General features: G+C 53.3%; 1 protein-coding gene across 23 annotated transcripts, besides 1 other annotated feature; it reads right to left on the bottom strand.

Moving 5' to 3' along the window:
- Nucleotides 367-25,485, bottom strand: FLCN (folliculin). Of its 23 annotated transcripts, none has more exons than XM_017024305.3 (16): nucleotides 25,067-25,323; nucleotides 20,943-21,056; nucleotides 19,949-20,037; nucleotides 16,778-16,976; nucleotides 16,044-16,316; nucleotides 14,331-14,477; nucleotides 12,613-12,666; nucleotides 12,077-12,298; nucleotides 10,656-10,816; nucleotides 9,692-9,783; nucleotides 7,174-7,364; nucleotides 5,224-5,337; nucleotides 4,535-4,658; nucleotides 3,340-3,471; nucleotides 3,140-3,245; nucleotides 367-2,011 (listed from the first exon to the last, which is right to left on the bottom strand). In XM_017024305.3, the coding sequence occupies exons 5-16, from the start codon at nucleotides 16,290-16,292 to the stop codon at nucleotides 1,810-1,812; spliced, it is 1,794 nt and encodes a 597-aa protein (XP_016879794.1). In that variant the 5' UTR covers nucleotides 16,293-16,316; nucleotides 16,778-16,976; nucleotides 19,949-20,037; nucleotides 20,943-21,056; nucleotides 25,067-25,323; the 3' UTR covers nucleotides 367-1,809. The 23 variants fall into 23 exon arrangements, with proteins under 23 accessions (XP_016879794.1, NP_001340158.1, XP_016879797.1 ...); NM_001353229.2 differs by lacking the exon at nucleotides 16,778-16,976 and adding an exon at nucleotides 24,631-24,838; XM_017024308.2 differs by lacking the exon at nucleotides 12,613-12,666 and adding an exon at nucleotides 24,631-24,838.
- Nucleotides 17,252-17,751: an enhancer, noted in NCBI's record as "H3K4me1 hESC enhancer chr17:17132411-17132910 (GRCh37/hg19 assembly coordinates)". NCBI's record gives its function as "activates a minimal SCP1, AML or CMV promoter by ChIP-STARR-seq in primed H9 embryonic stem cells {active_cell/tissue: H9 hESC(primed)}" and the evidence as "EXISTENCE:reporter gene assay evidence [ECO:0000049][PMID:30033119]".

A 25,492-nucleotide genomic window follows, 5' to 3' on the forward strand; every position in this document is an offset into this window, starting at 1 on the left:
GGAGTCTCACTCTGTTGCCCAGGCTGGAGTGCAGTGGTGTGATCTTGGCTCACTGCAACCTCTGCCTCCCGGGTTCAAGTGATTCTCCTGCCTCAGCTTCCTGAGTAGCTGGGACTACAGGCATCTGTCACCATGCCTGGCTAATTTTTTATATTTTTAGTACAGACAGGGTTTCACCGTATTAGCCAGGATGGTGTCGATCTCCTGACCTCGTGATCCGCCTGCCTCAGCCTCCCAAAGTGCTGAGATTACAGGCATGAGCCACTGCGCCCGGCTGACTCACTGGTATTTTTTAACCATAGTATTTCCTGTGCCTGAGCGCAAATAAATAGTAGGCATCAAACCAATAAAACCATGTAGTAACAATTTACAAAAATACATCTTTATTGTGTTCCAATGTTGTTGCATTATACAGATACCTAGTTATATAAACTTGGTCTTCATGTTAAATATAAACACAAAAAAACTAGAAACAAATCAGCAAAACCATCAGAAAATCCCTCTGAGCCATGAATCCTTATTAAAAATGTATAGTGGGGGGTACCTGTAGCTGTATGTTGAAGCAGGAGGACTGCTTGAACTCAGGAGTTCAAGACCAGCCTGGACGACATAGCAAGATGCCATCTCTTTAAAAAAAAAAAAAAAAAAAAAAAAAAGGGCCAGGCACAGTGGCTCACGCTTGTAATCCCAGCACTTTGGGAGGCTGAGGTGGGTGGATCACCTGAGGTCAGGAGTTTGAGACCAGCCCGGCCAACACGGTGAAACCCCGTCTCTACTAAAAAATACAAAAATTAGCTGGGCATAGTGGCGGGCACCTGTAGTTCCAGCTACTCTGGAGGCTGAGGCAGGAGAATTGCTTGAACCCAGGAGGCAGAGGTTGCAGTGAGCCAAGATCGTGCCATTGCACTCCAGCCTGGGCAACAAGAGTGAAACTCCCTCTCAAAAAAAAAAGTACAGTGGGATGATGAAATTGTCTTCAATCACCACACTCCGAAAATAGTTAACTGTAACCAAACGTAAATGTTGAAAGCAGCAATAAAGACAAAAGCGATACAGAATAAAAGCATGGCGGGGCTCACCATATCCAGGGGATTGGGCAAGTCAGATGCTTGCCGACCCCTCAGCAACCTGTCTTGTGCAAAAATGATCAGGGACTCCATCATTAAGCCCCAGGTTACCTTCACCAGCACCTGCAGGGGAACACCCCAGAAGACGAGCCCCATGGCTTCAGAACACACATTTCAGAGGACCAAAAGATGAGGAAGAGATCCACTTCACTCCCCAAAGTCTCTTGCGGAGCCCTAACTCAATCACTCAGTGACCAAGAGCTGGCAATGTACTGAATATTCACAACTGCAGCAAAAGGTACCCTCAAACATAAGGCCCAGAAACTCTTGCTGAATTTCAAAGTAGAAACGCTTGAATGTTAACCTCGGGAGCAGACATGTTATTGCGACTGCATACTGAGTCGGACCTGTTTCTCCTGCGGGTTTTGAGTCTAAGTCCACAAGGGGCCTGGGAGGCAAGCTGTCCTCCTAGTCGTCTCTCCAAGGAGTTTGAACACAGAGAGAGCCCATCATCCCTCCGCCTTTCATTGCCATCTTCAGCGATTCCAACGGCTGGAGGGAGAGTCTGGGAAGCACACAGGCCCCAAACCTGACAGGGCCGAGCCCAGCCCTGATGGTTTCCCTTCCTTGCTGGGACACAGCTCCTTCCAGCAGTTGAGAAACTCAAGGGACAGTCCCTCTCACGGGGCTGGAGGATCCTGTGGACAGCCATCCCTGTCTTTAGGCAGGTGTGTGTGACGGGTCAGTTCCGAGACTCCGAGGCTGTGGGGCTGCGGACCGTGGACATGAGGTGTGACTTGTAGGTCTTGCTCAGGCCAGTCATCCAGAACTTCAGCAGCTTGACATTGTCCTCCTCGGACGCACCCAGGATGCTCAGCAGCTTCTGTGTGTCCTCTTTGGGTCGACTGTCCACCTTGGTGAACTTAAAAAGCACCTTCACTTTGCTGAAGAAAACCAAAACAAAACACTCAGACACCACAGCACAATCCCTCGAGCCCTGGTCACGGGGCCAACCAGGGGTGACACGGCTTTGGCACCAGCAGGAGCTGTGCAGGCAGAGCTGGAATCCACACCCTTGGGGCAGCAGGCTTGGCCCCTGAACTGCTGAAAGGAGCTGTGTCCCAGCAAGGAAGGGAAGCTGTCGGGGCTGGGCTCGGCCCTCTGTCGGGTATGGGTATGGGGCCTGTGCGCTTCCCACACCCTCCCTCAAGCTGTTGTCAAGACGCCAAGAAGAAAGAAAAACCTTCCTTAAACTCGTGGAAGACACTGGTTGCTCCTAAGCTTCACTGCATGATTTTAAATCAGGACAATGTTTGATTAATAAATTTGACCCAAAAAATTACCAAGAATCGAGGCAGGAGGAAATAAAGTAAATTTGCTTACAAAAAAAAAAACCCGGGGGGCCAGGTGCAGTGGCTCACGCCTGTAATCCCAGCACTTTGGGAGGCCAAGGTGGGCGGATCACGAAGTCAGGAGTTCAAGACCAGCCTGGCCAACATGCTAAAACCCTGTCTCTACTAAAAATACAAATATTAGCCAGGCATGGTGGTGGGTGCCTGTAATCCCAGCTACTCCAGAGGCTGAGGCAGAAGAATCGCTTGAACCCGGGAGGCGGAGGTTGTGGTGAGCCAAGATCATGCCATTGCACTCCAGCCTGGGCAACAAGAGCCAAACTCTGACTCAAAAAAAATAAAAAATAAAAATAAAATAAAATAAAAAGCGGGGTGGGGCATGGGTTACTGGGCTTTTAGGTTTTGAAGTTAATTGCACAGCAGATGACAGAGCTTCCATTATGAACCCTCCTGTGAGCTTGGAGCCCTTGCCCAAGCCTCAGTCGCTCTCCAAGGCAGGCGCCACCCCCACCTCCCCATGCAGGAGCCGGAGGCAGACATGATGACCGCCTCCCGAGGCCACCTGAGCTTTGCAGTGGCGGACGTGGAGTTGGAACCCCGCCCCCAACCTCTTCTCTCGGCTCCTCCCTCAGTGGCCACGGCCCAGCTCCTCTTTTGGAAACAGCTCCAGGTTTTCTCCAGGGTCGCAAGCAAAGGGGCCTCACCCACACTGTTGCTTACTTCATCCACTCCTCCTTGAGGCAGACGAGGCACTGGTCCACCACATCCACAGACAGGTTCTGGTTGGTCAGAGCCGCTTCAATCTTATTCAGGATGGTGGGGCCCACTGGGGAGAAGGGCAGGGGCAGAGCAAGGGCAGGCGTTAGCGCGGGGCGGGGGCATCTTCTCACAAAAAGGACACTCTGCCTGGGGGCACCCACCTCGGTCTGCAGCTACAGGGCTCCCACTGGTCACCACAAACTCGTACTTGCTGAGAGACTGGTCATCCTCACACCCCACAGGGTGGAGGGTGGAACGTGCGGCTGCGTGGACCTCCACGATGACAGCAAACTCTGTAACAACACAAGGCCCGTGGCTCCTCATCTCCCCCATGCTCCTCACCTCCCCTGCGCTAGCCCACCGTGGGCCCCACTCCGCTCATCCCAGGTCAGTGGGGAAGGCTGCTGGTGAAAAGACTGGCCCAAATCAATGCTTTGGTATTTAAAACCTTTCAGGTTATTCGTGAATAGTTAAGGGTTAACTTTTGCCTCAGTTAAACTAATAATTTATTATATTACAATAATCACAAAGTACTTTATATACATCAATTTACCTCTGGCTAAGCAGCCCTATGAGGGTGGTCTCACCATGACCCTATTCTACAGATGGGGAAACAGGCCTGGAGACGTTAAATAACCTGCTCGTAGTGGTAAGAATTTGAAGTCTGTTTGAAACCAGAGCCTGTGTTTCCAATGCTACCCGGAAAAAAGGCACTGCCTCGCAGGGAGTCAGGACCCAGCCTGGGTGCTGATTGGGGGCTCAGGGTAGCTCCACTCGGACCATGAGTCAGCAGCTGCTGGTCACCGCTGTGCTGGGGGAAGTCACTGATGAGCCTGGGGGGCTGATCCCTGGACATCCCCAAACCAAAAGACCAGGGGTTTGCTGAGCCCTGACCACACCAGTGAAGGCCGGGAAGACCTCGGGCACATGAGGTGAAGAAAAAGGCTGGAGGAGAGCAGAAGTCAGGACAGGGGAACAGTAGAAGAGTGAGGAGAGGATGGCAGGGCCCACAGAAGCAGGCAGCTCACACCCAGCATTCAGCAGGCCTCCATCTCATAGGCACCCAATCACCAGGACGACCAGGATCCTCCGGCCAGGGACACATCCTCCCACCCCACGATGGTGACCTGCAGCCCACTGACGACAGTCCCTGCCAGCCAACCTTCCCATCAGGTCCACTCACCCACCGCTACCTGTGTGAAGATAGAACACGGAGGCCCAGAGCCATGGGGGAAGCTGGCCCTGCAATGAGGCCTCCTCTCCACAACCCATGACAGAGATCTGGTTCCACTTTGGGCCTGAGGCGTGGGGAACCTCAGCGCAGGGCATGGCCCCACAGCCCGCGGGGGCACGCACCTGAGGAGAGCACGTGGGGGGGGATCTGCACGTGCGGGCTGAGCCCCAGGAAGTTGCACCGATAGGCCTCCTCGTACTGGCTGCTGTATGGGATGATGCGGACGCAGCCCACGGGAAGCATGGTCTGAGGAGGACAGCAGGACTCAGACCAAGGACACGAGGAAGCCCTCAGCCCCGGCCATCCATGCTCTACTACCCAAACCCCACACGCCTCCTGCAGCCCGGTCCAAGCCCTCCCTCCTGCCAGAGGAGTCCCCAGACTCTCAGCCCACAGTGGGGGTGAGGGGGGAGGGTCCTCCACCACCAGGTCCCTAACTCTTGTCTGGACCGCCAGTCACACACCAGCTTGTACCGCCCCTCGCTCTGTGGTGTTAACTCATATTAATGTTTGCCTGCACAGATGTTTGTCTCCTACCGCATCCCACAAAGAAGCTTTTACCAAGACTGTGTCATATGCATTTTTGTTCCCTCTCAGGCCTGGGCAGTCAGCAGGCACACGCATCCTTCTGATGATTTAAACATCATCAGACCAGACCCGGGTCTCCGTGCCCACTGCGCCCCCAGTGGAGACCGTGTGGTGCACAGCGGTTCTGTGCTGGGCAGTCGGTGCACCTTGGCATCCCCACCTGACGCCAGGCACCAGGCCAATACTGCCCTGCGCCGCACACCTAAGGAAAAGATGTTCTCACCCGAAGTACTTCAAAAGCTGACTGGACGAGGTCCACGTCTCTGCTTTTCCAGATCACCTGGTTCCCCATGAGAACGTGCCAGGCCAGCATGCGGAAAGAAGGGGCACCCAGGACCTAAACAAGAGAGTGCAGTGCTTTCAGCGTGACTAGTAGAAATGGTTTTTCTCTCCCTTCCCATGAAGTTATTTGTGTGTTCATAAAACTTTGTAGAGCAAAGACAGGGCTCAGGAGAAAGACACTTATCTTCTCAGGGAGGCGGGTGCCCGGCCCAGGGTTAAAGGGGCAGAGAGAGAAGTTCCAGGTTTGCACATAAATGCTAGATTCCAAAGCTCTTGCTCCAAGATCTTTCTCCCAGTTTTGTTTTTAAAAATTTGAAGCAAAAAGATGTTAACTTTGTGCAATATTCACCTTCTCTCTACAGACACTTTCTGCTGAACCATTTGAAAGCAAGCTGTAGGGCCCTCGACATGGCAGCACCCAGGAGAATAAGGGCATCTCCACAGCTGAGACCATGACTGCAGCCAGGAGTGCCTGGACGGACGCATCTGACATCCAGCCGTGTGCACAAGCCCAGGGCTGCTGCCTGCTTGACGGCTGCTGTTCTTTGGATCCAGGAGATACTACAGGACCCATCATGGCTTTTAGTTGTCACGTCCTTATTCTTTAACCTAGAACAGCCTCTCCCCACACCCCACCTGTTATTAACTTCCATGACATTGACACCTTAGGAGAGTCCAGCCTGCTGTCTCACGGCTTCTAAGAAGCCAAACCCAGCTTTGAAACACAACATAAGAGAGAGGCCACAATACTATGTCTCACCAAACCCCAACAGCCTCAAAGTAGTCCCACCTCCAGAGGAATTCCAGACCCCTTCCAACCTTCATCAACATAAGCAACGGACAAGGAAGGTTTCAGCCAAATGCAGGATTTTGATGGAATGGGTGTTTACATCCAGAAGCCCCAAGGACATCTGCCATGAAATCAGTCTCACTCCATTTTCAAAAACAAATAACTCTCTTCTAATGAATCAGTGCTCATTGGAAAAATTCATGCAGAAGAATTTTATAAGAAGGCAGCCTGCCCTTGTAATCCAGCAACCCACACCCCTCTCTCCCGGCATCTGACTCGATGTAACTGGAGACAACACTGTTAGATTTTGTCGTGTCTGGCAGGCACACATGTACATACATCACCCTGAACACACAGTGCCTGCTTTATTTCTTCTAATTAATCATATTCCATGGTTTGGCTACTGTTTACTAGTATGGTTTGATATGCAAGTTGTTCCTAATTTTTTGTAAGAATGACCATCACTTTCTTTTTTTTTTTTTTTTTGAGATGGAGTCTCGCTCTGTCACCAGTCTGGAGTGCAGTGGTGCCATCTTGGCTCACTGTTAACCTCCACCTCCCAGGTTCAAGCGATTCTCCTGCCTCAGCCTCCAAGTAGCTGGGACTACAGGCACATGCCACCATGCCCAGCTAATTTTTGTATTAATAGAGATGGGGTTTCACCATGTTGGCCAGGCTGGTCTCGAACTCCTGACCTCGTGATCCGCTCCCCCTTGGCCTCCCAAAGTGCTGGGATTACAGGTGAGAGCCACCACGCCCAGCCAGACCATCACTTACAATGGGCAGGGTCCAGGCTGCATCCAAACCAATTACAGTGCTGTTCAATGCCTTTAGGAGCTTCTTAGAGGATTAGAGGACCATGGGATGCCAACTATCTGGGCTTTTCTTTGAAGATACTTAGGTCATCACTGAAAGGGGAGCACTGATCCTATGGCTAATACCCCCAACGCCCTGTGCCCTCAGCCACCCACCGAGGAGGCTGTCAGTCACTTCCTGCAGGGTTTTGAAGGTGGAGGGTCCAGAGGCAAGGCGTGTGGGCAGGGACAGCCCATGACTGGCTCTCCTCCTGAGCTCCTGATGCGCTGTGCCCCTGCCGCCTACCTGCCTCATGTGCCGGAGGGACTTGAAGACTGGCAGCTTCCGGGGCTGCCAGCTCCCACAGCCTGAGAGAGAGGAGGACTCTGCCGGGCCCTGGGTCAGCTCCCGCCCTTCTGTACTCTCTGGCAACACAGGGGCTTTCTCCTCCTCTTCAGCCTCAGAGTTGTCCCAGCTTTCTGATTCCTCTTCTAAATCTGCAAGACAGATGACAAGGACAGTTACAGATACAAACAGTCTCATCCTGTGACTTCAGCCCAAGATACTTCATGGGCTGAGCCGGTCAGTGTAGATTCCTGGCTGCGGCCAGGTCCTATGCTCCCTGCTCCCTGTTGCTCTGGGAGCCCTGGGGTGGGAGGGAGGGCTCAGTTGCTGTCTACTTAGCCCGGGGTACCACACATCTCTCTTAGAAGCACTTATGGAAAGACCGTCAGCTGTTCTCTGCTGGTGAGAAAACTCAAATCAGTAAGAAAAATGCCAACAGCGTGTCTACGGAACACACCCAGTCGGCCACAGTTCTCGAGGATCTACACGTTGTTTCTTTTTTTTCCACTTTTTTTTTTTTTTTTTTTTTTGAGACGGAGTCTCACTCTGTCGCACAGGCTGGAGTGCAGTGGCGCAATCTCGGCTCACTGCAACCTCCGCCTCCTGGGTTCAAGCGATTCTTCTGCCCCAGCCTCCCAAGTAGCTGGGACTACAGGCACCTGCCACCATGTCCGGCTAACTTTTTTTGGTATTTTTAGTAGAGACGGGGTTTCACCGTTATCTGCCAGGCTGGTCTCAAACTCCTGACCTCATGATCCCCCGACCTCGGCCTCCCGGTCCACTTTTGTTTTAGCTTGAGGGCGTACGTGTGCGGCTTTGTTACAAGGGTATGCTGCGTGGTGCTAAAGTTTGGGCTTCTATGAATCCTGTCACCCAGACAGTGAACCACAGGAAGTAATATGCCCAGATAGTATCCAATAGAAAGCATTTCAGCCCTTCCTCCCCTTCCTCCCTCCCTCCCTCCTTCTGGAGCCCCCAGTGTCTACTATTCCCATCTTTTTTATTTGAGACAGTGTCTCGCTCTGTTGCCCAGGCTGGAATGCAGTGGCACGATCACGGCTTACTGCAGCCTCAATCTTCTGGGCTCAAGTGATCCTCCCAACGAAGCCTTCCAAGTAGTGGGACTACAGGCATGCGCCACCACGCCCAGCTACTTTTCATATTTTTTGTAGAGACTGGACCTCCCTATGTTGCTCAGGCTGGTCTCAAACTCCTGAGCTCAAGCAATCCACCTGTCTCGGTCTCCCAAGAGCTGGGATTCCAGGCGTGCACCAGTGCCTGACTTCGTTCTTTATGGCTACATCCAACATCATTTCATTTAGTCCTCTCAGCTGTTCTGAGGTCAGCACTATTATCTCCATTTCACAGATGAAGAAATTAGTATTTGTCATTTCAACGAAACTTCATGGAGCCCTCACAAATGACAACATCTCCATTTCACATCACGAGACCCAAAGGGAAGGGTGCACGTCAGAAGCAAATCCAGGATGCGAAGCCAGGTCTGTCTGATGCCAAAGGGCAAGCCCTGAGCCCGAAACCCCATACTGCGCATGCCCAGCACACCTGCGTTTCCAGCTCTCACAAAGGCTTCGACAGACCTGGCTCTTCGTGCTAAAAAGCTCACCAAGACACTGCCCTTGCCATCTGCACCTGCCTAGAAACATGATTAGCACTATAATAAATGGCTCCAGGGCCAGCCAACCTGCAGGGCATGGGGGTGGATTCCCAGGCTTTGTCTTTCCTGACCAGGTTTTGCTCTTGCTGAGACTCCATTGGCAAAGCTTATTTGAGGGCACGCCTGCACCTGCCTGCAGAAACACCTCGAAACAGCTCTGGCTGTTTGGAAGGCTGGTCATTTGCAAGCAGAAGCATGGGAAGCATTATTAATGACATGTGGTGTGGAACAATGGTCGTACCACAGACCTGTAGCACCAAGATCAAATCATCCCTGATGGAAAGCTTGGCCAAGACTGGCCCAGTGCTTCCAGGCTGGTGCACACAGTGCCACGATCCCCAAACACAGGGCCCCAAGCCCCAGATCAGGAACCTGGGGAAGCCCAGGCACCTGGGAGGTCAGGGAACCACTGCCCTTCATGGAAAACTTGGGACGAACTGAAACAGAACACTTTATTTGTAAAGGAGCAAAGACCGTCGACCAGGCCAAGCACTTGGCTATCACAAAATCGGGACGAGAAGCCTTTAATCAGCCAGTTCTCTCTACAGACAGCCCACCTGTGAATTTTCCCCACCTAGCTGGGGAACAGATTCTTTCACATGGCGGTCAAGGCAAACGAGACAGGAAATCACAACAATCACAACAATCACACCGAGATCGGAGGGTGAGCTTCCCGAAGGCTCGTTCTGGGCTGATTCAGAGCCGCGTTTCCCTCCCTCAGCGATTCCTGCCAGGAGAGCAGACAGCTGGTACCGCCCCACGGCCATCCGGGCCAAGGCCCCGGCAACAGCACCCCTGCCTCACCAGCGAGCTTCTCCATCTGGACCAAGGTATCCTCGGTCGGAGCACCTTCCAGGAGCTTCTCGGTCAGCCGGCTGCCACACGCCTTCAGGAGCCTGGAGAACACAGCACCAGCTATGAGCGTTCTCGCCAAAGGAAAAAGCAAACCTGACGCTCACCCAGCCCCTGATCCTACCAGTTTAAAGAAAAAATGGGTATAAAAGAACACCAGCAGGGCACAACCAGCCAGATCCCGCATGCAGGCAGTTCCACAAGTCAACGACCAAGGTCCTTCAATAGATGGATGGGAGGAACTTGGAGGGGAGGGGATGCAAGGGGGAGCTGTTCTAAACCAGAGAGACTTGGGGCGCTGCTCCGATGCCAATGCAGTCACTTGTGAGACAAAAGGTAAACTGCACAAGGGCTTGCAGCCTGGAGAACACTCAGGAGTCTGTCCGTTTTGTCGGACATGATCACAGTATTGTGATTATATTTATGGCTGGAATGATACGACTCAGATTTGCTTTAAAAAAAAAAAAAAAGGCTGGGCGCGGTGGCTCACACCTGTAATCCCAGCACTCTGGGAGGCTGAGGCAGGTGGATCACATGAGGTCAGGAGTTTGAGAACAGCCTGGCCAACATGGTGAAACCCCGTCTCTACCAAAAATAAAAAAATTAGCTGGGTGTGGTGACAGGCGCCTGTAATCCCAGCTACTTGGGAGGCTGGGGCAGGAGAATCACTTGAACCCAGGAAGAAGTGAGTTCCACATCAATATGTTTTCAGCACACTCAGGGGAAGAGGCCTACAGAACAAGGACTCCCAGCCCAGATCTGTGCTCACTGACAAGTGCCCACAGGCCAGTGCTCCTCACAGAGGCAGCAAGCAAACACGGCTAAGGACTGTTCTCCCAAATCCATGGACAAGCCAACCAATGTATCGTGACTGCTCTATCCTAACAGATATGCCAAAAGCAGAGACGCCCGTTACCAGGCAAAGGAGGTGTGCAGGCACGCCCACAGGTTGTCATCACTTGTCAGCGATGTCAGCGAGCGGGCGGCGTTGCCGTTCCTCTGGTGTAGGAATGGCGTGAAGGCTGTGTTCATCCTCTGAGCACGCTGTGGGCATCCAAACTGCTCTGCCTCAAACACCTGAAATGCAAAGGGAAGGGATGGCCTCTTTAAGCCAAAGCTGCCAGCAGCTCGGACCCCTACTCGTTCACAGCCAACTCCAGGACCTGACTCCTGGAGGATCAGTCCCACTATACTCTCTCCATGCAGAGCACACAAAGTGCCACCAGTCCAATCATTCCCAACAGCATAGCTCTGCCCCGGCTACATCAGGAGCTATCCGAGAACAGAAATCGGTTGAGCTTCTCCTGTCCCCTTCCTAATGAGTGACCCAAGGCACCCAGGGGGATTCTCGTGAGTGGCCATCTGCGCTGCTCCCCACCTGTCTCCACCTCCCCTTCTGGGTGCACTACTTGGCTAAGGCACACGTGACTGGCTCTGGTCAATGAGCTGAGACAAACAAGGCCCTCAGCACCATCTGTGCTTCTGGAGGGCAGAAGGAGCAACATTTTTTCCTTTCTTTTTTTTTTTGAGATGGAGTCTCACTCTGTCGCCCAGGCTGGAGTGCAATGGTGTGATCTCGGCTCACTACAACCTCTGCCTCATGGGTTCAAGCGTTTCTCCTGCCTCAGCCTCCCAAGTAGCTGGGATTACAGGCATGCACCACCATGCCCAGCTAATTTTGTATTTCTGGAAGAGACGGGGTTTCTCCATGTTGGTCAAGCTGGTCTCAAACTCCCGACCTCAGGTGATCTGCCCGCCTTGGCCTCCCAAAGTGCTGGGATTACAGGCGTGAGCCACTGCGCCCAGCCTAGGGGAAGCATTTTCATATGGCTGCCGCTCTGCCTGCCAGGACGACCACAGCAAGCAGAGCCCCACTCTCCTGCAATGCACACACCATGAGTAAGAAACAGGCCCTATGGCTTGAAGGTGCTGAGATCCGAGGCTGTTACCAGAGCACGACCTGGCCTGGCCTGGCCTGAGCTGCATCTCCACAGCTGGAGGCCTACATTCGGTGGTGCAACTCAATGGGATTAACAGACATCCCTGAGATGAAGGCCAGAGGAAACAAAGACACCAGGGGTCTGACTGCAGCAAAGAAACCAGAGCTGAGCGAGAACCAGGACAACGGGCACAAGAGAGACCAGCAAAGCAGGCGGGATGGCCTGGGAGGCTCCTCACGACCTCCAGCTCTGAAGCCAAGAGACTACAATTCACACAGTGCACTGGCTGTAAGCAGAGGGGAAGACGCCACGCGGTCTCCAGGCCTCAACCTCAGCACAGAGCGGCTCATGCAGTGCAGGGCCCCCTGCCGCCCCGGCACCTCATCTCTGAATTCACCTTGAGCGCCTTGCCCTGGAGCTCATCGATGATTCCCCGGACCTTCCCCAGCAGGAAGGGCCAGGAGTTGATGAGGTAGATCCGGTCCATCATGATGGTGATGATGCTGTACCAGCGCTGGAAGCCCCTGGCCAGGCTGTCCTTGATGAAGAAGGTGTGGCTGAACACAAAGCCGTGCTGCTCATCTCCGAAGAAGATGGGGCCTTCACGGCCAGGGCAGACCTGGAGGGACACCGGCGACTCAGACAGCCCTTTCCTCGCTTAGTGACACCAAATCAAAGCCTCTTCTTCAGACTTTTCAGAGTCAGCTGGCACAAATCAGCCAGCGTTAATAACGGGGAGAGTGGCACAGTGGGGGCCATGAGAGCCGAAGACTGTACTCTTCTGCTCCTGTGATCAAGCTTCCAACAACACTTGTCATTGTGGACTGCAAGGGCCGGTAACAAGGCTTATTGCTTTTCTTCCACCTTGAGCCATAAATAACTCCCATGCATATGTCACACCTCTCCCAGACTCAAATGTACCAGCTTACTCACCTGGAGCATGCAGAAGAACCAGCAGGTCAGAGCAGCCACTGCACTCTCCCTGCACTGAAATCCGCACATTTTATTCTTTCTTTCTTTCTTTATTTGAGATGGAGTCTCGCTCTTGTCACCCAGGCTGGAATGCAGTGGTGTGATCCTGGCCCACTGCAACCTCCGTCTCCTGGGTTCAAGCAATTCTCCTGCCTCAGCCTCCTGAGTAGCTGGGATTGTAAGAGTGTGCCACCACGCCTGGCTAATTTTTTTGTATTTTTTTTAGAGAGGGGGTTTCACCATGTTGGCCAGGCTGGTCTCGAACTCCTGACCTCAGGTGATCTGCCGGCCTTGGCCTCCCAAAGGGCTGGGATTACAGGAGTGGGCCACCATGCCCAGCCCCACGTACTTTATTCTTATAAGAGGATTTCAGTCCCTCCTCATTACATACTTACTCTTCCTTAACACACAATTCTAACAGACATGCCGAGCTGCCTGCTAGCAGACCAGCGGTAGGAAATTAAAAGGAGAGGACAGTTGAGGGCAGGCACACAGCCACACTGAATGAGAACAGTAAGGGAGCTTGGTGTGTCGAACTGGGTGGACACCAATGACAAGGAAGTTTAGTAACTGAACGACGAATTCTTTGTAACAAAGACCTGAGCTCAGAGTCAAGAGCAACAGCAGCAGCGACGTAGTTTAGGAAGAAATCATCCACACCTCAGCAGGCTGAGAGCAGCACGGGATCATCACTGAGACTTGGAATGAGGACTGAGATAATAAAAAAAGGTGATGTTGATGCAATGAACCACCTAACCTAGAAATGCTTCCTATCTTAGGAATACATCCATCAAGAATAGACACACATGGCTGGGCATGGCGGCTCACACCTGTAATCCTAGTGCTTTGGGAGGATGAGCCAGAGGATTGCTTGAGTTCGAGACCAACCTGGGCAACATACTGAGACCTCATCTCTACAAAAAAATTTTAAAAAGGTGGGGCACAGTGGCTCCCACCTGTAATCCCAGCACTTCGGGAGGCCGAGGCGGGCAAATCACAAGGTCAGGAGTTCAAGACCAGCTCGGCCAACATGGTGAAATCTCTTCTCTACTAAAAATACAAAAAATTAGCCGGGCATGGTGGCACACGCCTGTTGTCCCAGCTACTCAGGATAGCTGAGACAGAAGAATCACTTAAACCCAGGGTGGAGGTTGCAGTAAGCCGAGATTGCACCACTGCACTCCAGCCTGGGCAACCGAGTGAGACTCTGTCTTAACAACAACAAAAAACAAACCCCAGTTGAGCATGGTGGCACACACCAGTGGTCCCAGCCACCTGGGAGGCTAAGGCGGGAGGATCGCTTGAGCCCAGGAGTTTGAGGTTGCAGTGAACCATGACGGCACCACTGCACTCCAGTCTGGACGACAGAGCGAGACCCTGACACAAAAGAAGGAAAAAAGAAAACAATAATAATAAAGAAAGGACAAATAATAAAAGTTCGGTGCTTAAAGTGCAAAAGCTAGCACTCAATCAGAAAATGCTCAGCAAGTCCAACATGACTCCTCCCGCAATTCTGGACAAGGGAGGCGTCCTGTACCCTGTGCTGTGCTGATCTGCGGGTCCGCCCTGAGAGAGGACCAGTGCCTGCCTCCCTGTGCAATGCTGGCTCCGAGCCCACCCAGAGCACCTGGGAGCATGTGGGCTCCCACAGAGACAGGCTCTGTGGCCACAAGGCTCACCTCACAGCTCAGGCTCCGGACACAGGCCTGGCGGACAATGCTGAAGAGCTGGGGGTGGCTGGGGTGCTGGTGGCTGACGTATTTAATGGAGGTCTCTTTATCATGGCTGATATATCCCGGGTGCCCTGCAGCAAGTGACCGGCAGCCCTGTCCATGAAAAGGAAAAGTAAATCTGTTAGTTGGGAAGCAGGGCGACAAACTCTCTTAGGTTTATGCAAATCTGAGCTCGGAAAACTCAAGCTATTTTTGTAAAAAAATAATTGGCTTCCAGATTTATACTTATCTGAAGATTTAAATGTTTCCTAAAGAGGAAAACAGAACACAGAGATCGCAGAGATTGCCAGAGGTTGTTCCTAACAGGTATTTGCTGAGCACTTACGAAGTAGGTAACATGAAAAGGGCCCTGCATGCTCCATCTCATTCAATCCCAAGTGCCACCCTCTGAGATAATGTCAGTGAGAAGCCCCATTCTACAGAAGACAAAACTGAGGCTGAAGTGAGAAGTAGCTGGCCCGAGGGTGAGGGGCTCTGTGGTGGTAACACTACCCACTGCCCCCAGCCTCCATCATTGGTTCTGAACTAACACCTGGAAGGGGCTTCAGCCACAGGCGAGAGGCCCAATAAATAGGGCGAGCACCAAGCTCCAGGATGTTGGTGTGGCAGCTCACCACTGCTGCCCCGCTGCCCCGCTGCAGCCACAGCCACTCCGATGCTGAGGCTGTGCGCCCTGGAGCTGCTCCTACCCCAGGACTGTGCGGCAGTGCGTCAGCAAGACTCTCCCCACAGTGTCGCAGGATTCCTCCATGGGCAACCCCAAAACCAGCTCAAGGATGCCCCAGCAGCCTGGCGGTGCCCTCCTTCCCAGGTCTGAGGTGCTCCCCATCCCCCATTCCTTACAGGCAATTCCAGCAATGGATGCAGCTCTTACACGTCCTCTGCTTCTGCAGCAGAACCAAAAGAACAAGCTTGGGTTCCCGTTTGCACTGCAGTGGCAGGTCCAACACCCACCCCTGATTTTGGGCCCTGACCCAGGTCCTCCACAAAAACAAGTGGCCCACTGGGGAAAACTCACACTAATTCCCGAGAGTTCAAGAGCTGATGGAGTGACCCACCGAGAACACTGGGGGTCCTGGGAGCAGGAAACTCCACTGGGAGCACGGGACTTTGGGGACCCGCCTCCAGGACAGGCTGGAGTGTGTGAATACAAACATGAAGGCCACGGCAGGGAGGCAGAGTGGGTTAAAGAAGTTAACATAGGCTGGGTGTGGTGGCTCACGCCTGTAATCTCAGCACTTTGGGAGGCCGAGGCAGGTGGATCACCTGAGGTCACGAGTTCAAGACCAGCCTGCCCAACATGGTGAAACCCCATCTCTACTAAAAATACAAAATTAGCCAGGCGTGGTGGCAGGCAAGTGTAATTCGTTATTCGGGAGGCTGAGGCAGGAGAATTGCTTGAACCCGGGAGGCAGAGGTTGCAGTGAGCCATGATCACACCATGGCACTCCAGCCTGGGCAATAAGAGCAAAACTCTGTCTCAAAAAAAACAAAACAAAACAAAACAAAAGCTACAGTCAGGATGAGCGGAAAGAACTGAAGGGCCCCTGAGAAGCAGTCTGTGTCACCCCGGGAGGCCCCGTCCACTGCTCTCAGGTCCTCCTGTCCATCCCACACCTACTGCAGGGATCACAAAACCAAGACCCCAAAGACACTTGCCTCGCACATGTCCGACTTTTTGGGCCCCGGGCTGCTGGACTCGACGCTGGCCCCCTCTGCGGGGCTGTGCGCACGCATCCGACTGTTCATCTGAATGCCACCTTCCTCTTCTTCCGCCTGCTCACCCTGGCCAGGACTGTCCTCATTCCCATCCCCTTGAGGAAGTGGGGCGTGCAGCACCTCCGTGCAGAAGAGAGTGCGGGGGCCGTGGAGCTCGCAGAAGTGGCAGAGAGCCACGATGGCATTCATGGTGCCTTGGAGACTGCAACAGGCCTGCGTGGGACAGGGGACATGTCAGCTTGCCAATGCCTATTGACTCCATGAAACCTCCCCAGCCCCTCTGGAGCACAGGGAGCACCTGGGTGCCATGGACTTCCTGCCCAGGAGAGGCCACCCGCCAGTTCCCCAGCCCCCTGCCAGCACTGCTTTGCCCCAGTGCGAGAGGAACAGAGATAGGATCTTCCCATGGGAGTCACAGCAAATAGGGGAGGGGACAATGTGGACCAATGATAGCACAGCTGGAGCTGTGACAGAGCCACAGCCACAAAGCCAACGGCGCTGGAAAGGAATGTCCTCAAGTGACATGAACTGCAGCCAAACCTGGCAAACCCTGTGAGAACAAATAGATAAAAGGCCACAGGGAGAGGGTCCTCCACCCAATACATATCTGCTTGGCACCTGCTCCATGTGGGCCAAGGTGCTAGGCAACATGATACTGCCCTCATGCAGCTTACCTCCTGCAGGGGGTCGGCGGGGGACACAGGAAAACTGCTTCCTGCGAGAGGCCCACGCAGGGAATGACCAGAGGAGGCAGGAGCCTGGAAGGACTGGCTTACGGGGCCAAGCAAGAGTTGAAGGGCAGGGTGGGTGCTGTACTGTCTGAGGGGTGTGTAAGGTCCGGTGTCCAAAGAGCAGCAGCAGACAGGGTGGAGGCTGTAGGAAGCAGATCTTATAGCTCCTCCAGGCCACCGAAAGACCCTGGATGTGTTATCAGAGACTGGGGAGGCTTTGGGGGTTCTGATGAGACATGAGAAAATGTGAATTTCACTTGAATAGGTTCACTCATGCCCATGTGCAGAAAAGATGGCAGGGGGCCAGGGTGGAGGTGGGGAACAAGCTGAGGCACCCTGCTGACTGATCTGAGCAGGAAGGGACAGTGGCCCAGGCCAGGCAGGGTGAAGACGCACAGTGCGGGTGGGGTGCAGAGTGCGGAGCAGTGAGCAGGGGAGAAGGCCCAGTGAGTGCCTGCTGAGCCTTCACGGGGACGGGACACAGCAGCAGAGCCAAGCGCTGCGGTCGGGGCTGACGCATGGGACCTCCGTGGAGTGCAGCCCTTGTAGACTCAGAGGTGGAGAAGGGAGGACAGCTAGCCAACATGACCAAGCACAGGCAGTGAGGCCAGAGGGGAGCTCCAGAGTCACCCCAGTGACCAGGTAAACTGCTTTAGCAAGGTGGGACTGGAATGTCACATGGCCTTAAAAAGGAAGGAAACCCTGCCACAAGCTACGGCACGGCTGAAACTGAAGGACATTACACGAAATGATCTACACTGGTCACAAACGGATAAACACTGTAGGATTCCACTTAAATAGGAGGTACCTAGAGTCCTCAAAGCCATAGAGACAGAGAGCAGAATGGCAGCTGCCGGGGACTGGGAGGGAAGAGCGGGGCTCAGTTCTGGAGACGGAAGGTGGCGATGGCCGCACAGCACTGTGAACATACTTCATGCCACGGCACTGCACGCCGAACAGTGGTTCAAATGGCGCATTTTAGGTCATGTATTATTTCACCACAATCTTTTTAAAAGGGGGAGTGGTAACCTGCAGAACAATGATGAAGTCAAAGGTGACCTTAACACAGTTTCCGGTGGAGAAAAAGCTCACAGGAGTGGGTAGAGAGAGCCCTTTGGAGAGTTTCCGTGGCAGAGCCAGCAATGGGACACCTGGTGGGGACATGGAGTCAAGGAAAGCCCCAAGCTTGGCCACAGTACAGCTGCGATGCCGGCGGAACCATGTGAAGGCCAGGGGCAGCTGCAGGCACAAAGTCTGAGGGACACCAAGCACTCATTGCAGAGGGATGGCCGCGGCAGCATGAGGCAGTATGCCTTCCTAACGAATGCAGGAAAGCCAGAGAAGGCTTTAAAATGGGGGTGTGTCATGGGGTTCTCACTGGCAGAGAAGTTCTGGAAACGAGACCGCAAAAGCAAAGGTGCACAGTGGGGACAGCCACAGCCAACAGCCTGACATGTGACACAGCCTGACACATGCAGCCAGACCCACATTGTCCATACGGTGGCCACAGCTATGTGTGACAACTTAAATTTAAAATTTAAATTAGCTAGGAGAGGCCGGCACAGTGGCTCATGCCTGTAATCCCATGAGCCTGTAATCCCAACACTTTGGGAGGCTGAGGCGGGTGGATCACTTGAGGTCAGGAGTTTGAGACCAGCCTGGCCGACGCAGTGAAACCCTGCCTCTACTAAGAATACAAAGATTAGCCAGGTGTGGTGGTGTGCGCTGGTAGTCCCAGCTACTCAGGAGGCTGAGGCACGAGAATCACTTGAACCTGGGAGGCAAGGTTGCAGTGAGCCGAGATCGCACCACGGCACTCGAGCCTGGGCAACAAAGTGAGACTCAGTCTCAAAAAAAACCAAAAACAACAAAAACAAAACAAAATAAAACAAAAACCTTAGCTGGGCGTGTTGGCGGTCACCTATAAACCCAGCTACTTGGGAGGCTGAGGGAGGAGAATCACTTGAACCTGGGAGGCGGAGGTTGCAGTGAGCCAAGACTAGGTCACTGCACTCCAGCCTTTATGACAGGGCGAGACTCCATCTCAAAAAAAAAAAAAAAAAAGTAGCCTGGAGTGGTGGCGCACGCTTGTAGTCCCAACTACTTGGGAGGCCTAGGCAGGAGAATCGCTCGAACCTGGGAGGTGGAGGTTGCAGTGAGCTGAGATCGTACTACTACATTCCAGCCTGGGTGACAGAGTGAGTGAGACTTCGTCTCGAAAAAATTAAATAAATAGGCTGAGTGCGGTTGTTCATGCCTGTAATCCCAGCACTTTGGGAGGCCGAGGTGGGCAGATCACTTGAGGTCAGGAGTTCAAGACCAGCCTGGCCAACATGGCAAAACCCCATTTCTACTACAAGTACAAAAAAAATTAGCCAGGCATGGTGGCGCACACCTGTAGTCCCAGCTACTCAAGAGGCTGAGGCGGGAGAATTGCTTGAACCTAGGAGGCGAAGGTTGCAGTGAGCCAAGACTGCGCAACTGCAGTCCAGCCTGGGCGACAGAGAGACTCCGTCTCAAAATAAATAATGAATTAATTAATTAATATATTAGCTAGGACAAAAGCTCAGCCCTTCTGTCTCACCGGCCATGTCCTGAGTGTTTGCTAGGCACACACGACTCACGCCACCCCTCTGAATAGCCCAGGTCACAGAATATTTCTGCCTTCCCAGAAAGCCCCATTGCTTTCTGGGTGTGGCTGGCAGGGAATGGAGGGCTGGTGCTCAGTAGGTGCACTCCGAGAGGGAGGCAGACAGGCAGCGGGAGAGGAAACAGAGTTTCAATAAAGGGCCCAAGTCAGACTTGCTTGGGACGATGAAGAATCATGTAAGTTTCTGAATGTTTGACTGAGTAGTGGACACTGGCCAGGACCCAAAGCCTCTTCTCTTCTGGGGAGCCCCCACCCCTGTTACGGATCCAAAAGTCAGACGTTCTGTCTTCGCTCCTGACAGGCAGGCTGTGAACACAAACAAGGCATGGCCTGCCAAAGCCGCTAACTCTAGGAAGAAGCAAAGGACGATGTGCATGGTGGTGGGGGGTGCTGCAGCCAGCCTCTCTGCCGGCGGCCCATGCCTGGAACTGCTTCTTCAGCATGCCTGCGAATGCACCACCCACCTGACGTTTCTGCAGTTGGCTGCTTAGCTGCACGAGCTGCTCCGGCACCTGTCCTCCTGCTGAGATACGGCTGAGCACGAGTGGTCACACTGGGAATGGCAGAGGCAGACAGAAAACAGACATTTGAAGAGAACCTTAGCTGGGCTGGCAGTGAGGCAGGTGTGGGAGTCAGAGAGGGAGACCCTGGGTGTGGCTGGCAGGGAATGGAGGGCTAGTGCTCTGTAGGTGCACTCCGAGAGGGAGGCAGACAGGCAGCGGGAGAGGAAACATACGCATTTAACAGATGGCAGAACTTCTAGCTGGAAGGCCCTGAGAACTCAGCAAAGATGCAGGCTGCAGGACAGGAGAGGGCAGGGCTGGGGACAAAGGTCAGGAATGCTCCACACACCGTCACCTGGCTCACTCCTCACCACTCGGCCTCCACTTGCTCCCCTGCTCAGAGTACCCCTTGCCAGCCCACCAGAAGAGCTCCCCTCCACCCCGACACCCTCCCCTGCCCTGCTTTGAGTCGTAGCGCTCCTCATCGCAGAACTGCGCCTCCAAAGTGCCTTCCTGACACACAGGAAGCGCCACATTCACGTGTTAGATAAATGAGAGGACTGAGAAGTCGCCCTTGGAAAGATGACAGCTGTTGCCAAGAAAGGGGCGGAATCTAGGGGCGGCAGAGGTTCAGGAGCCACAGCTGTGGGGAAGGCCGGAGCCAGAGTCTAGTGGCACAGGAACCAAACAGACAGTTTCAATAAAGGGCCCACAGGGTTCACTATGATGAGTGGCTTAAAAATCTACTGCTCAACAGGAGATGGGGCGACCACTGATGGAGTAAGGGGTAGCAGGACCCAAAGGAAAGGTAAAGGCATTAAACTGCGAAAAGGAAGGCCACGCCTTTCTCTGAGAGGCATCAGGGGAAGAGAAATAAGGTTCCTTCTAGCAAGACATGCACAGGACAGCAAGCCTGGGCCAAGTCTCAGCCCACCTGCAGAGCACCCACACTAACCTGACACTCAGCAGAATCACGCTTCCACCGTCCACACCAGACCACCACACACGAGGCTGCTGCCAAATGGGTCAGGCATGGTGGTGGCAGACACCCTTGAAGACCTGGCGTTTTCTAGGTAAGAGAAAAAAAAAATTAGAGCTATTTCTAAGATTAGAGGCCTTCGTAGCATGAAAAATAATGGGAGCAGCTTACAGCCAGTCTCAAATAAGAACGTGTCTGATGAGGATGTAGACACTCCCCAGGGTTCTGAATGGCTTAGCAGGCCTCTGACCTTCTCAGCAGGAGCTGACATTTTAGCTGAACTCTTGCACCTCTGAGGCACTCTAAACCAGTATTTGATCAAGGATCTCTGTATTTATTTTTTTAGAGATAGGGTCTTGAGGCCAGCTCAGTGGCTCATGCTTGTAATCCCAACACTTCGGGAGGCCAAGGCAGGAGGATTGCTTCAGCCCATGAGTTTGAGACCAGCCTGGGTAACACAGTGAGACCCTGTCTCTACAAAAAATTTTTAAAAAAAATTAGCCAGGCCGGGCGCGGTGGCTCACGCCTGTAACCCCGGCACTTTGGGAGGCCGAGGTGGGCAGATCAGGAGGTCAGGAGATCGAGACCATCCTGGCTAACATGGTGAAACCCCATCTCTACTAAAAATACAAAAAAAATCAGCCAGGCATGGTGACAGGCGCCTATAGTCCCAGCTACTCGGGAGGCTGAGGCAGGAGAATGGCGTGAACCTGAGACGCAGAGCTTGCAGTGAGCCAAGATCACGGCACTGCACTCCAGCCTGGGCGACACAGCAAGACTCCATCTCAAAAAAAAAAAAAAAAAAAAAAATTAGCCGGGCATGCCTCTAGTCCAAGTTACTTGGGGGACTAAGTTGGGAGGTCACTTCAGCCTGGGAGGTCAAGGCTGCAAGTTCCCATCTTTCCTTTTTTTTTTTTTTTTTTTTTTTTGAGACCAAGTTTCACTCTTGTCACCCAGGCTGGAGTGCAATGGCGTGATCTCAGCTCACTGCAACCTCTGCCTCCCAGGTTTAAGTGATTCTCCTGCCTCAGCCTCCTGAGTAGCTGGGATTACAGGTGTCTGCCACCACACCTGGCTAATTTTTGTATTTTAGTAGAGACAGAGTTTCACCATGTTGGCCAGGCTGGTCTCGAACTCCCGACCTCAGGTGATCCACCTACCTCAGCCTCCCTAAGTGCTAGGATTACAGGCATGAGCCACTGCATCCAGCCAAGTCCCCATCTTTCTTACTCTTGGTTATAAGGGGGTGCTCTGGCAGCATCTACATCACACCAACTTACTTTTCAGGCCATAGGCCTGGCAGTTTCCTTCTCAAGCAGGAGAGGGAAACCAGAGGCAACGCTGACAAGCCACTTCCCAGCACCCAGAGCCAACATGGGCTACACTGTTTTGTTTTTTTTTGGTTTGTTTTTTTTTTTGCGGAAGGGTCTCATTCTGTTGCCCAGGCTGGAGTGCAGTGCAGCAATCTCGGATCACTGCCACCTCCGCCTCCCAGGTTCAAGCAATTCTCCTGCCTCAGCTTCCCGAGTAGCTGGAATTATGGCCGTGCGCCACCAGGACCAGCCAACTTTTGTATTTTTAGTAGAGATGGGGTTTCGCCATGTTAGCCAGGCTGGTCTTGAACTCCTGACCTCAGGTGATTCTCCCGCCTCCTCGGCCTCCCAAAGTGCTGGGATTACAGGCATAAGCCACCATGTCTGGCCAAAACATGGGCTACTCTTATTCGTTTTTCCTTTTAATGAAAAGCACTCGCTGGGTGCAGTGGCTTAAGCCTGTAATCCCAGCACTTTGGGAGGCCAAGGAGGGCAGATCACCTAAGGTCAGGAGTTTGTGACCAGCCAGGCTAACATGGTGAAACCCTGTCTCTACTAAAAATAGAAAAATTGCCGGGTGTGGTGGCTCATGCTTGTAATCCCAGCACTTTGGGAGGCCGAGGCAGGCGGACCACGAGGTCAGGAGTTCGAGACCAGCCTGGCCAACATATTGAAACCCCATCTCTACTAAAAATACAAAAATTAGGCTGGGTGCGGTGGCTCACGCCTGTAATCCCAGCACTTTGGGAGGCCGAGGTGGGCAGATCACGAGGTCAGGAGATTGAGACCATCCTGGCTAACACAGTGAAACCCCGTCTCTACTAAAAAATACAAAAAATTAGCTGGGCATGGTGGCGGGGGCCTGTAGCCCCAGCTACTGGGGAGGCCGAGGGAGGAGAATGGCGTGAACCCAGGAGGCACAGCTTGCAGTGAGCTGATCGCACCACTGCACTCCAGCCTGGGCCACAGAGCAAGACTCCATTTCAAAAAAAAAAAAAAAAAAAAAGCCAGGCATGGTGGTGGTGCATGCCTGTAATCCCAGCTACTGGGGAATCTGAGGCAGGAGAATTGCTTGAACCTGGGAGACGGAGGTTGCAGTGAGCTGAGATCGCACCATTGCACTCCAGCCTGGGCAATAAGAGTAAAACTCCATTTCAAAAAATACAAAATACGAAAATTAGCCAGGCCTGGTGGCACGTGCCTGTAGTGCCAGCTACTCAGGAGGCTGAGGCAGGAGAATCGTTTGAGCCTGGAAGCGGAGGTGGCAGTGAGCCGAGATCGCATCACTGCACTCCAGCCTGGGCGACAGAATGAGATTCTGTCTCCAAAAAAGAAAGAAAGAAAGAAAGAAAGCAAAAGCACTTGTCAGACGAGAGCTCTGACTCTGACTCCATGGATCATGTGCACCAGAGGCCCAGGCAGCCCCTGAAAGAGAGGGAGGTGCCCTACAGAGCACTTAGCTTTGCGGTCACCGGAGCCTGCCCTCACCAGCCAGGTGACACCAAGTGTTACTAGACCTCTCTGAATACCACCCAAAAGCTGAGAAACAGAGGCCTCTCAGAATTCGCATTACACATGGAATCAGAATTCTGGGCAGCGTGAGGTCATTCTTCACTCACTGTTCAATTCCAATCTCTACCAGGTGTTTGCTGAAGAAAACAAACTGGTTTGAGTGTGTCTCACGAGTCTGTTTCCAACAAGCTTTCCAGAACCCACATAGGAAGCCGAAATGCCCTGGCTGACAGTCTCTTCATCAACATATCCAAAGACAGTATTCAAATTCCCTGATGTGGTAGAGTGTCTGTTCATGTCCCCCTCCCACAATGGCTGAGTCCCAGACCTGGACAGTGACCTCACCACCACCCGTGGTGCGCCCTGGCCCTATTTCAACCCTACTTCCTATGGTGTTCTCATAGCACCGTGGAGAATTAAAGAGGCCACTAAGTAAGGGCACTCTAAATAAACAAAGCACTATAACGGATCTTAACCAGCAGTGGACACACAGCTTCTATAACTAGTCTCCCACTGGGGAGCCTCATTAAGTTAGCAGCTGGGATCCCAACAAGCCCAGGGTGAAAAGTTCTGCAGGGGATGACTGCCAGTTCAGATCCACTCTCACTGTGGCTCTATTTCCACCGTTTCCCTGGATTTCCATTCACAGAGCTCCCTGACATAGGACACTAGAAGGGCAAACGCAGTGTCACCTGCCACTATTACTCAATTACTTGATGACCACGGTGATAATCTGGCACTAAACTGGCTGTGGCCAAAGGCTAGAGAGCCAGAACCTACTTCCAGCAAGCTCCTCCTTGCCCTGTGTCCCCACTTGAAGAGACTGCTAGTGACCACACCTTGGACTTCAATCCACAAGCCAATCCATTCTTTCCAGGAGACAAGGACGCGACTGACAGTACTCTCAACTGGAGAGAAGCGCGGTCTTCCACCCTCCCTGGAGGACACGGTGCTACCCTATTAGCGCATCAGAGGACCCTCCTGAACGCCAAACTGGGAGAAGAGGATGACACACACCCTCTCCTCCAAACAGAGCGAAGACAAAACCTGGGAGAAGGGAAGGCAAACAGTCCCGTTTCATGGCAACATCAAATGAGATCACAGTCCTCATCCCCATAGACTTGGTTAATGGGCGTGCCCCCAACCTATCTTCAAATCTCAGGGTCTCGGCGACGCCCTGGACTCTGGCCCTAAACCCTCCCCCATTACTCGTCCACCTGGGACCAACGAAAACTCGGACATGCCCCTCCGCCAACCCCTCAGACCCCCGCCTACCTGCTCCCCAAATCGAGGCCCGCGGGACACCTGGACTCGGCAGCCGGGGTCCCGCTCTGGGTCCCAGCCCCGCCCCTGACTGCGCTGGGTAGGTGGTCGCTGCGGGACCCGGACCGGCGGAATCACACCCAGAGCCCCCAAGCCCACGGCAGGGATGTCACCCGGGGTGGCGAGGCTCTCAAGCCCGGGTTCAGGCTCTCAGGGGAGCTGGCAGAACCAGGAGCGACCACACTCACTCGCGGTCCCGCAGCCCCGCCGACACCCAGGCGCGTGACTCCCTGAGCCGTACCACCACCCAACACTGCGGTGGGGGTGCGGGAGCCGTCCGAGCGCGTCCTGCACCGCGAGGAGAGCCGGGCCTCCCTAGCTCTCGCAAGCCCAGGAACACAGTCCGAGTCCTACAACTCCGAGGTCTGACTGGGAAGC

The sequence above is a fragment of the Homo sapiens genome, chromosome 17 (genome assembly GCF_000001405.40).
Source record: "Homo sapiens chromosome 17, GRCh38.p14 Primary Assembly".
NCBI lineage: Eukaryota > Metazoa > Chordata > Mammalia > Primates > Hominidae > Homo > Homo sapiens.